Genomic DNA, 13,590 nt, shown 5'->3' with positions numbered 1-13,590 from the left:
GTTGATCGAATTGGCTACTGAGGCTTGTGTATTCGTCACATAGTTCTCGTGCCACGGTTTTCAGCTCCATCAGGTCCTTTAAGGACTTCTCTGTATTGGTTATTCTCGTTAGCCATTCATCTAATTTTTTTTTCAAGGTTTTTAACTTCTTTGCCATGGGTTCGAACTTCCTGCTTTAGCTCGGAGTAGTTTGATCGTCTGAAAACTTCTTCTCTCAACTCGTTAAAGTCATTCTCATTCCAGCTTTGTTCCGTTGCTGGTGAGGAGCTGCATTCCTTTGGAGGAGGAGAGGTGCTCTGATTTTTAGAGTTTCCAGTTTTTTTGCTCTGTTTTTTCCCCAACTTTGTGATTTTATCTACTTTTGGTCTTTGATGATGGTGATGCACAGATGGGGTTTTGGTGTGGATGTCCTTTCTGTTAGTTTTCCTTCTAACAGTCAGGACCCTCAGCTGCAGGTCTGTTGGAGTTTGCTGGAGGTCCACTCCAGACTATGTTTGCCTGGGTATCAGCAGTGGAGGCTGCAGAACAGCGGATATTGGTGAACAGCAACTGTTGCTGCCTGATAGTTCCTCTGGAAATTTTGTCTCAGAGGAGTACCCGGCCATGTGAGTTGTCAGTCTGACCCTACTGGGTGTTGCCTCCCAGTTAGGCTACTCGGGGGTCAGGGACCCACTTGAGGAGGCAGTCTGTCCGTTCTCAGATCTCCAGCTGCATGCTGGGAGAACCACTACTCTCTTCAAAGCTGTCAGACAGGGACATTTAAGTCTGCAGAGTTTTCTGCTGCCTTTTGATTGGCTATGCCCTGCCCCCAGAGGTGGAGTCTACAGAGGCAGGTAGGCCTCCTTGTGCTGCGGTGGGCCCCACCCAGTTCCAGCTTCCCAGCCACTTTGTTTACCTACTCAAGCCTCGGCAACGGTGGGCGCCCCTCCCCCAGCCTCACTGCTGCCTTGCAGTTTGATCTCAGACTGCTGTGCTAGCAATGAGCAAGGATCCGTGGGCGTAGGACCCTCCGAGACATGTGCAGGATATAATCTCCTGGTGTGCCATTTGCTAAGACTGTTGGAAAAGCGCAGTATTAGGGTGGCAGTGACCCGATTTTCCAGGTGCCATCTGTCACCCCTTTCTTTGACTAGGAAAGGGAATTCCCTGACTCTGCCCTTCCCGGGTGAGGCGATGCCTTGCCCTGTTTTGGCTCACACTCGGTGCGCTGCACCCACTGTCCTGCACCCACCGTCCAACACTCCCCAGTGAGATGAACCCGGTAGCTCAGTTGGAAATGCAGAAATCACCCATCTTCTGCGTTACTCAAGCTGGGAGGTGTAGACTGGAGCTGATCCTATTTGGGCATCTTGGCTCCACCCCCATCATTATCTTTTACATGGACTTTTTAATGCCCTCCCAAATGATCTCACTTCAGTCCTTGTCCCCCAAATCTATTTTGCATATAGAACCCAAGTGATTATTTGAAAACTTAAGTCAGATCATCTCATCATCTCATGCCTTTCTGTTTCATTCAGAATTAAATCTAAAGTCCTTACCAAGTTTCTATGGTCTCACATTTACTTTTCCCCTGCTATTACTCTGATTCCATCTTTTACAATGTCCCCTTTCACTCATTCATTTCAACTACATCTAACTTATCATCAGTCATCCCATGCATGATCCACCTCAGATAACATTATACTCTCTTTTTTCACTCTACCTATATTGTTCTATCTTATTGACCTTTCACTTCCTTCAGGTCTGAGGTATAATGTCATATTATTGGACCCATGATCTTATACCTGGAGCCATGCCCATTTGATAGTCCTTAGTAAGTGGAAAAAAACATACATTTATTTAATACCTACCATGTGTCTGACACAATGTTAGGTGCTCTGAAAGTGTTTGTTAGTCTTTCAGAGTTAAAGAACTAAGACTTTATGCAGTTTAATTTTTCTATCATTCCTACATGGAGGAAATACTGAATCAACATTCAAACTGAGATCCGCCTTGATCCCCTCATTTAAAATATCATTTCTCCATCAACTTTAATTTCTGATCTGCTTTTTCTTCAGAGCACTTACCACTGCCTGAAGTATAATATGTACCATATAATATTATATATATTTTCTAAGTATGATCTTCTCCCAATATAATGTAAGTTTCATGAAAACAAGAATTTGGTTATGTTCAGTATTTTATTCTCAGTTCTTAGAAGAGTGCCTGTCACATATGGAATATTCAATAAATGTCTGTTGAAAGATGAAGCATATATCTTAAAAATATCTAATGGCTACAGATAAAATAGCCAAATTTAGCAGGGGTCCATTAGATAATGGTGCATGGAAATAACACATAATTAAAACTTTTCTTGTCCTTTTATGTTCAATATTTTATATTATTCAATCAGTATGTTCACTATAAAGGACAAGCCAAATGATTTTGAAGGCAGACTAACATAACTCATTCTTAATTGAATGAGCCTTTTTAAAATCTTATTTTCAACAAGTCAAAAATACTAATGTCTTGTAATCATTACCAGTCCTGGCAAACAATAAAATTTAGATAGCCATGATCTAAAATCAGATAATCACTGACATCTTATAAATAGCATTCTAAACTGAAAAGCTGAAAAGGATTTAACTTGTTCAAAATTCTATTTTTAACTCTACATGATTTGGAGCATGGTGCTGGAGAAGTCATTTATCTTTTCTAACCTTAGGTTGTGTTTCCTTAAAACAAAGTTAATACAACTTGGTGCTATGTATAGTTTCTTGCGCATTTGGCAGTGTGGAGAAAGGTGACATAATTCTAAACACAGGTTAATTTTTTACTTGAGAATTGCAACTCCAATGAAAACAATTCCTGTGGTGTAAAGCTTTCAATGCTAGTAGAAAGAAACACATTAATAGTGTAAGAATTAAAAATAACTGAAATGTAAATGCATGGGCAGCAGTATGTTACAGTGGAAATGACTGGAAGGCAGACAGACTTCAGTTTTAACATTGACTCTATATTTCCTCCATGTGGGAATGACAGAAAAATTAAACTGCATAAAGCCTTAGTTCTTTATCTCTAAAATAATAACAGACATTTTTAGAGCACCTAATATTGTGTCAGACACATGGTAGGTATTGAATAAACGTACGGTTTTCCCCCTTACTAAGGACTATCAAATGGGCATGGCACCAGGTATAAGATCATGGGTCTGATGAAAAGATAAACTGAAACTATACTACAATATGAAGCATGTGTAATAACTTCTGAAATTGTAGCATTTCTATTGTTATTTTTTAAATTAACTGATATTCTCCATAATATAATCACATCAAGGAAATGACTTTATTACAAAATGGAATATTTTTAAAAGATGAAAAAAGCACAAGGTCTTTGAAGTTCTCAAATAAATTTGGAACCAAGACAGCTATTCAATGTCTTTTTGCCTTTTACATATGCTTTATAGATTTTTTTTAATCCCAAAAGGCACATGTGGTCCTCAATCCAAACCCTGACAGTCAAAAATGACAACTTGAGGAGTATGTTTCCATCCTTTTGTGCATGGTCATATAAACATTTACATATAACTTTTAATTTTTTACAACTACTTTACATGTATACCGAAACACTTGAAAGAAAACCTTCGTATCAACAGAGGTAAATCAAGCAATGATAACTATATTTATTTTAGTATCCAAACCAAGAAAGACTGCTAATAAAAACTGTGTTTGAAAGGCAATTCGAAAGTGGGACTTTCCTGGGGAATCCAGGATATGTAGTCACAATAGACCAAATTCATTGCTGGTAGTTTGATAGTATTCCAGAATGCAATTATTCCATTATTTAGTCAATACTTTCTTAATTAATGTTCACTGAGGTTGTTTCTAGATCTAGGCCACTGCAAAAGGCAAACAAACAAACAAGAAGTTACATAATAAATACTCATTTTTGGTAATTATTTTCCTACAGAATAGAACCCTAAAATTACATTGCTGAGTCAGAGGGGTTATGCTTTAAAAGAAAAAAATAATATTGTCAGAGCTTATTCTAGAAATAATGTAACACTTTACACCCCCTCTAATGACATTTGAGAGTGATCATTTTTCCACAAGGAAAATTCTATAATTATATGGAGTGATTTGATCCTCTCTTCTAACCAAATTATGTTTTCTGTAGTAATATTATGTTTCTTGCTGATATTTTAAATTGATAATTATTTTCTCTAAATTGTTGGCAGTCATTGTTTCATATGAATGTAAAATCATCTTACCTATTTTGTATCTAACCAGTTAGCTAGAATTCCATAGGAAATGCCAAAATGCTGAACAGAGCTATATTAAATTCCATGAACATTTTGGAAAAGGTGACATTTTTTAATCAAATGTTAAATTATATGTCTATATTTGTTTTCTATTATTTAATAACATTTTTATAGTTTTTTAATATAGACTGGCTCTCTGTGGTTGAGTCACTCTTCTATTTATTTTTTAAAATGTTATATTATCATGGTAAGAACACTTAACATGAGATATACCCTCAACACAAATTTTTAAGTGTACAATACAATATTGTTGACTATAGGTAGAATGTTGTACAGCAGATCCATAGAACTTATTCATCTTGTGTAACTGAAACTTTATGCCCATGGATTAGTAGGTTCCCATTTCCCATGCCTCAACCCCTCGTAACCACCATTCCACTTTTTAATCCTATAAATTTGACGATTTTAGATACCTCGTATGAGTGGTCAGGTTTGGGGATTCTGTGACTGGCTTATTTCATGTAGCATAATGTCCTCAAGGCTCATCTCTCCTATTACATATTGCAGAATTTCCTTTTTAAGGCTGAATAGCATTCCATTTTATGTACATATTTTTAATTCATTTATCTGTCAATAGATTTCCCACATATTAGCTATTATGCATAATGCTGCAATTAACATGGTACTGCTAATATCTCTTTGAGATCCCAATTTAAATTCCTTTAGAAAATATCTAGAACTGGGCCTGCTAGATCATATGGTCTACTGTTAATTGTTTAAGGGACTTCCATTCTGTTTTCCATAGTGGCTACATCATTTTGTGCTCCCATTAACAGAGTGCAAAAAGTCCAATTTCTCCACATCCCTGTCAACACTTCTCTTTTGTGTTTTTAAATATAAGCAATGCTAATAGGTATGAGGTAATATTTCACTGTGGTTTTGTTTGCATTTTCCTGTTAGTGGCATTGGACATTTTAAAAATACACATGCTGGCCATTTGTATGTCTTTTTTAGAGAAATGTATATTCAAGTCTTTATCCTATTTTTAAATTGAGTTATTATTTTTAGCTATTGAAATGGAATATTGTCTTATATATTTTGGAGATTAATCCTTTATCAGTTGCACGGTTTGCAAATATTTTCTCCCATTCTATAGGTTGCCTTTGCTCTGGTGATTGGTTCCTTTGCTGTGCAAACGTTTTCTAGTTTGATGTGGTCTCACTGGTTTGTTTTTGTTGCCTGTGCTTTTGGTGTCACATCCATGAAGTCATTGCCAAGACAAATGTGAAAATATTTTTAACTACGTATTCTTCTAAGAGTTTAACAGTTACAATTCTTGCATTTGTGTCTTTAATCCATTTTTAGTTGATTATTAAGTACAGTGCAAGGTAAGGGTCCAATTTTATTCTTGAATGTGGATATCCAATTTTCCAATGCTATTTTTGTAGAGATTAAATTAGTAAAACAACCCCATTTACAACAGTCCTAAAAAACAATAAAATACTTAGAATAAACTTAGCTAAGGAGGTAAAAGACTTGTTTACTGAAAACTACAAAACACCAATTAAAGAAATTAAAGAACACAAACAAATGAAAAGACATCTCACGTTCACAGACTGGAAGACAATATTGTTAAAATGTCCCTATTACCCAATGAGACCTACAGATTCAATAAAACTTCTATTAAAATCCTAATGGTGCTTTTTTTCAGAAATAGACAAAACAATTTTTTATTTCATATGGAACCATAAAAAATTACACATAACCAAATCAATCTGCAGAAAGAAGGATGAAGTTGGAGACATCACACCACCTGCTTTGAAAATACCTTACAAAGCTACAGTAATCAAAACAGTATGGTATTGCATAAAGACAATCATACAGAGTAATAGAACACAATATAAAATACAGAAATAAATCCATGTATATATGATCAACTGATATTCAACAAGGGTGCCAAGAATGATCTTATTTTTAAGTATTATCATGTCCATTTCTAACTGTATACTATTTAGGTAGAGAAGCTATTACATTTTGCATTTCTATCTTGACATTTGACATTTTAATATTCAAATATTAGCACAAATTATTAAATTATATTAATCTTTTAGCTGGTAATTATATAAATACTCTTGTTTGTGTATGTAATTATAATAAGCAAACACAGATATTTGGTTCCTTTGTCTAAGTTTATCCTTACTAGTTTATATTATTGTCTTGCATTATCTAAAACCTCCCAAGTGGCACCAGTGGATGATGTCTGAAATTTTTGTCATAATCTAGATTTTACCACTTGGTAAATGTTTCTAACTGGTTTCTGGTAAATCATTTGGTCATATTTAAGTATTTCTCGTGTATTTTCCTTTTACTCAGAATTTTGCTTAGGATTTGCTACTAAGCTCTAGATAATGTATTATACCTGTGTTTTTATAATTCTACTTCAACTTCCTTATTTCATTTTTTAGAAAATTATTTCATTTTTTATATATAAAACAATCAGATTCAATCAATGTAATTTTACAAATATTATAAACGTATTTCTTAAAAAAAATTACTGGTATTCTGACAGTGCAATAATGTTTCATCATTAATTTAATATGCACTTTTATGACCATTACATTATTTGCTAATGTTTTCCCTTTTATTTCTTCATCAAAAATGAATGCAGTTCTCTAGTCATCAAGATCTATTTCTCATGGATTTTTTTTAAATTTAACAAACAAGAGATAGTTTGTTATAAATTCTGTTCTTTTACATTTGCTGGGGAGAGCTTTACTTCCCAGTATGTGGTCAATTTTGGAATAGGTGTGGTGTGGTGCTGAAAAAAATGTATATTTTGTTGATTTGGGGTGGAGAGTTCTGTAGATGTCTACTAGGTCCGCTTGGTGCAGAGCTGAGTTCAATTCCTGGGTATCCTTGTTGACTTTCTGTCTCGTTGATCTGTCTAATGTTGACAGTGGGGTGTTAAAGTCTCCCATTATTAATGTGTGGGAGTCTAAGTCTCTTTGTAGGTCACTCAGGACTTTCACAAGACAGGGATGCCCTCTCTCACCACTCCTATTCAACATAGTGTTGGAACTTCTGGCCAGGGCAATTAGGCAGGAGAAGGAAATAAAGGGTATTCAATTAGGAAAAGAGGAAGTCAAATTGTCCCTGTTTGCAGATGACATGATTGTATATCTAGAAAACCCCATTGTCTCAGCCCCAAATCTCCTTAAGCTGATAAGCAACTTCAGCAAAGTCTCAGTTTACAAAATCAATGTGCAAAAATCACAAGCATTCCTATACACCAACAACAGACAAACAGAGAGCCAAATCATGAGTGAACTCCCATTCACAATTGCTTCAAAGAGAATAAAATACCTAGGAATCCAACTTACAAGGGATATGAAGGACCTTTTCAAGGAGAACTACAAACCACTGCTCAAGGAAATAAAAGCGGATACAAACAAATGGAAGAACATTCCATGCTCATGGGTAGGAAGAATCAATATCATGAAAATGTCCATACTGCCCAAGGTAATTTACAGATTCAATGCCATCTCCATCAAGCTACCAATGCCTTTCTTCGCAGAATTGGAAAAAACTACTTTAAAGTTCATATGGAACCAAAAAAGAGCCTGCAGAGCCAAGTCAATCCTAAGCCAAAAGAACAAAGCTGGAGGCATCACACTACCTGACTTCAAACTATACAACAAGGCTACAGTAACCAAAACAGCATGGTACTGGTACCAAAACAGAGATATAGATCAATGGAACAGAATGGAGCCCTCAGAAATAATGCCACATATCTACAACTATCTGATCTTTGAAAAACCTGAGAAAAACAAGAAATGGGGAAAGGATTCCCTATTTAATAAATGGTGCTGGGAAAACTGGCTAGCCATATGTAGAAAGCTGAAACTGGATCCCTTCCTTACACCTTATACAAAAATCAATTCAAGATGGATTAAAGACTTAAACGTTAGTCCTAAAACCATAAAAACCCTAGAAGAAAACCTAGGCATTACCATTCAGGACATAGGCATGGGCAAGGACTTCATGTCTAAAACACCAAAAGCAATGGCAACAAAAGACAAAATTGACAAATGGGATCTAATTAAACTAAAGAGCTTCTGCACAGCAAAAGAAACTACCATCAGAGTGAACAGGCAACTTACAAAATGGGAGAAAATTTTCGCAACCTACTCATCTGACAAAGGGCTAATATCCAGAATCTACAATGAACTCAAACAAATTTACAAGAAAAAAACAAACAACCCCATCAAAAAGTGGGCAAAGGACATGAACAGACACTTCTCAAAAGAAGACATTTATGCAGCCAAAAAACACATGAAAAAATGCTCATCATCACTGGCCATCAGAGAAATGCAAATCGAAACCACAGTGAGATATCATCTCACACCAGTTAGAATGGCAATCATTAAAAAGTCAGGAAACAACAGGTGCTGGAGAGGATGTGGAGAAATAGGAACACTTTTACACTGTTGGTGGGACTGTAAACTAGTTCAACCATTGTGGAAGTCAGTGTGGCGATTCCTCAGGGATCTAGAACTAGAAATACCATTTGACCCAGCCATCCCATTACTGGGTATATACCCAAAGGACTATAAATCATGCTGCTATAAAGACACATGCACACGTATGTTTATTGCGGCATTATTCACGATAGCAAAGACTTGGAACCAACACAAATGTCCAACAATGATAGACTGGATTAAGAAAATGTGGCACATATACAACATGGAATACTATGCAGCCATACAAAATGATGAGTTCATGTCCTTTGTAGGGACATGGATGAAATTGGAAATCATCATTCTCAATAAACTATCGCAAGAACAAAAAACCAAACACCGCATATTCTCACTCATAGGTGGGAATTGAACAAGGAGAACACATGGACACAGGAAGGGGAATATCGCACTCTGGGGACTGTTGTGGGGTGTGGGGAGGGGGGAGGGATAGCATTGGGAGATATATCTAATGCTAGATGATGAGTTAGTGGGTGCAGCGCACCAGCATGGCACATGTATACATATGTAACTAACCTGCACAATGTGCACATGTACCGTAAAACTTAAAGTATAATAATAATATAAATAATAATCATAAAAAAATAAATAAAATAAAATTACAAAAATTATCTGCGAAAAATAAAAATAAGAAATAAAATAAAATAAAATAAAGAAATAAAAATAAAAATTGGAGTTTTCTAAATGTAAAAAAAAAAAAGAAAAAAAATAAATTTAACAAACAAATATCAACACTTAGTATTGTATATGAGCCAGAATATTTGGGTTCCAAGATGTGCTCTAACAGTGGTTAGACATGTGTCCTCAAGTAAATTATTTCTTCTTTCTAAGGTTCTGATTTTTAATCTATAAAATAAGAAGCTTGAGTAAGAGATGGGATTTGGACAGAATTGGGTCCGAATTCTGGCTCCAATACTTACAAATTTCTATGTATTTGTGCAAGTTACTTATGCTTTATAAGCCTTTGTTGCCTTACCTATAAAATGGGTTTAATAAACTTAACTAAGATTTTCATTAAGATGAAATGAAATAATGCAGAAAAACACTTTAATATAGTAAATAATCACTGCTTTAGCTATTAAAGATTTCTATGGAAGTACCCAAATATAGAACTCTATGAATACATATGTCCAAATGTGTGCGAAGCATGTTGCTATGTGGTTTCACATCTGTCAGGATATTTTCAGAAGATAATTATTTTTAGGCCGGTTTTTACTGTTAAAAAAGTTAGCATGTGTCATGGGCTAAATGGTTACATCCCTCAAAAATTCATAGGTTGAAATCCTAACGTCCAATGTGACGGTATTAGTAGGTTTCTTCTGGCAAGTAATTAGGTGCTGAGGGCCGAGCCCTTAGGAATTAGTACCCTTGTCAGAGCTTGCTCTCTATTCTCAGCCATGTGAGAATACAAGGAGAAGACAGCTATTTTTGCAAACCAGGAATGTACCCTCACCAGACACCAGATCAGCCAGGGACTTGATCTTGGATTTCTTGCCCTCCAAAACTATGGGAAAATAAACGTTTGTTGTTTAAGCCACCCAGCCCATGGTAATGCATTGAAGCAGTATGAACTGAGAGCTCATCTAAACTATATTTCCTTTACAGTCACAGTCTACAGTAAGTGATAGAACAAGCTGCTGAATCTTTGAACTAAAAAGTTCATCTCTGCTTTTATTTGATGTTATAATCCTTCATATTGCATAATTTTTAAATTTGCCAACCAACATAATTAAATATTAGCCCATTAAATTTTTATCGCAGAAAGTACAATTCTTCCTGCAAGAGATCTATTTATCTTTTATCAACATAGTCTGAGTAGATCCAAGGCCTGAAAAAAGGAAAAGACAGACATAGGATCTTGAATATATTTTCCAAAAGCATATTAGGAAAGTATTTAGTGACGGAATTCAGTGTACCTTTGCAAAAGAACTTGAAAACTTTAACTCAAATTTAACTTCTCATATAAGGTAACTATAAGTAATTTTTGGGGATTTCATTTAAGCAGACATTTTAAAAATAAGAGATGGAAGTTTTGTCTTGCAAGACATAATGAATTTCATTCATTTCTTTGAAGCTTTGGAATGGTTTCTATACCAATATTCCAATCTAATAACCTTGATTCGGTTCCTATGATAGCCTAAGAAAATAGAATCTGTGTGATACCTAAACTATATATAAAAACTTATAAGGAATGCTATGGCTTCGGAAAAGATGGTTATTGTAAACTTTCTCAGTAAAGTCACTGATAACTTTATCTACAGATATTTCTAAGCCTTGTTCTATTAACTCTTGGTGGGCATTTATCTAACATAGTTTACAAAATTTAATTTTGATTATTGGTTTGTCTAACTTTTTGCTTTCTCTTTGAAATGTGCTAAATTCCACTTACCTCTCTCTGTGTTAACAGACAGCACACAGCTTACCCTATGACATTTGCTAAGTTCCTGGAAATTTGTAACTAAACTATCAGCTGTTTTTAAAAACAGTGTTGTCAGAGATTGTGAAAGTGCATTAATTACAAAACTAAGAGCTGAATTCATGTACATTTGTTCTTATAATAGTACTATTCAAAACCATACTAAAACTTAGATGCAATAGTGTATATCTTCTTTATGCACATATATTTTCATTTCTAAATGTACTGTATAATTATTTTTGAGTGGAAGATTTATAAATGTTAAGGACAAAAGAATAATCACAAAAAGCATATTTATTTTATGTTCTAATCCAGAAATTATTACTTGTTTTGAGAACTCCTCAGAAAACCTTGCATTTTTGCCAGTTGTATGACTCAGTGTAGCACTTGGTAGTTGCTATAACAAACTAAAATCTTGGTTGCTTAATTCAACAAATGTTTATTTGTCACTTACACAAAGTCCAATACAGATGTTTCTAGCTAAGCTATTTTTCTGAGCAATTCCATCCAAGAAAAGAATTCCAAGGTCTAGGTTCTCATCATCACGTGATGCTGCTATTTTGGAGTACTTGACTTCCAGACAGTGAGTGAGATCATGGAAAAATCATATATTTCATGGCCAGGCAATAATATGTTCCCTCTATTCTATTAACCAGAGCCAGTTACATGGCTCCAACCTAACTGCTAGAGAGGCTGGGAAATTTAACGTGCCCCAGTACTAATGAAGACAAAAGAGAGAGTTGTTCAGTCTCTAACTAATCTCTTCCATACAAGGTGTACCAGTCTAGAACCCAACTGGGTATGTAAAGACGGGCAATGAAAATGAAAATCCTCAGTAATAGTCTGTTATACTAAAGTTGCCCTTATTAGGATCTTGATTTAAGGAACTATCTTAAATGTGGTATTTTTTATCATTTGTGCATAACTCTGTAAATTTTATCAAATTTCTTAGGAAACACATTTTATTTTATTACAGGCTTCCTAAAAATTGAGTGAAAATCAAAATTTAGCAATCCACAAGGATTTGATATCAGAAATACCCAAGAAAAACACTATTGCACAGTAAAAGACAGATGAAGTGCACGGTAAATATTCACAATGATGATTATATTTCAGTGGTTATGCTATATATTGGAAAGAGCTGTCATATACATGTTGATGGGGCACATTATTGCCTACATTCTGATTTTCTTTTTTTATGATGAATTATTTTGTAAGGAATTTTTTAGGGGATTAGTTTTGCCAAACAATATAATCAACCAAAGGAGAGAAATGTATATACTATAAAAGCCTAGTTGTAATTACCAGTAGCTGTAACACTGAATTCATCAGATGAAAACTGTTGTAGCTTCTAACAATTAAGCAATATTTTGCAATACAAATATTTAAATTAATCATGAAATAGAATGTGATAACAAGTTTATAAAATTACATTTGTACAGGCATAGACTTGGGTTCTATCTAAAAATATTGAAGTTTAAGGTTTACACAGAAACTTGGCCTGAAATTTTATATAAACTTATCCTAAAAATACACTTTTTCTTCATATAACATTTGGTTGTTTTGAACTTGATATCTGACTAATATTGTTTGCTAAACCAGTTAGGCTTTTTGGCCTGAATTGGCAATTCCTATAAGCCAACATTTATTGTAATTTTCTTTCATCTACAGACAATTAGACTTTTGGAGCATACAAACTATTTCCTAAATGAAGATATACAACCTACAACTTTACATACCAGTCATCTAAAGTCCTTGCTGAAAAACAAGTTACATTTAAGGCATCATAATTACAAGAGTATAAAATCAAAACCTGTGAATGTTAAGAATTAAAACTTAACTAATTATTGGTCTCAAAATGTTTCATGTTTAGGTAAGCGAGAGATGCAGCAAGGGTTTGTGATAATGCCTTTAAAAAATTCTGCCTAGCAGCACTCCAAATTATGTTACTTGTGGTTAGGGTCAACAATATATTTCAATATTACCTAAGTGATTGGTGGCTTCACCATTAAACTAATACCGCTATATTAGAAGTATCAGTAGAAGTATCATTGGGTCAGTAGAAGTATCATTGGTCATTAATCATCATTTGCAGAAAAGTCTACTTTTCAATAACATTTGCTTTTTTTCTTGAGAGAAAAATAAGAGCCAATAATTAAACCCACAACTTCCAATTTAAAAATATGTAAACTATGCCTTTATTTATTACTGGAAGAATTCACCCATCCAAATACTTGAAATGGTCATAATTTTTAAAAGTTATAATCTAACTACTATAATAAAAAATATCATATAAGTATGTAATTAAAACTACTTAAAGTAACAGAAGTGTAAGGTAGACAGAAACAGGAAGAAAAAAATCACAGGAGTTTACTTAGGTAAAGGAAGCTACCACAGTT

At 34.5% G+C, this 13,590-nt stretch overlaps 1 protein-coding gene across 2 annotated transcripts in view; it reads right to left on the bottom strand.

Moving 5' to 3' along the window:
• CNBD1 (cyclic nucleotide binding domain containing 1) overlaps positions 1–13,590 on the bottom strand; it is a 562,238-nt gene that overhangs the window by 42,156 nt on the left and 506,492 nt on the right. Inside the window, exon 11 of one of the 2 annotated variants that reach the window (NM_173538.3) lies at positions 3,638–3,877. The exons of the other annotated variant lie outside the window; for it this stretch is intronic. Within the exon in view, the coding sequence (NP_775809.1) occupies positions 3,870–3,877 (8 nt within the window). The 3' untranslated portion in view covers positions 3,638–3,869. Of the gene's footprint in view, positions 1–3,637; positions 3,878–13,590 lie in introns of those variants that run through there. 2 annotated transcript variants of the gene reach the window in all.

Source organism: Homo sapiens, chromosome 8, assembly GCF_000001405.40.
Source record: "Homo sapiens chromosome 8, GRCh38.p14 Primary Assembly".
NCBI lineage: Eukaryota > Metazoa > Chordata > Mammalia > Primates > Hominidae > Homo > Homo sapiens.
This window is presented reverse-complemented; position numbering and strand designations above follow the sequence as displayed.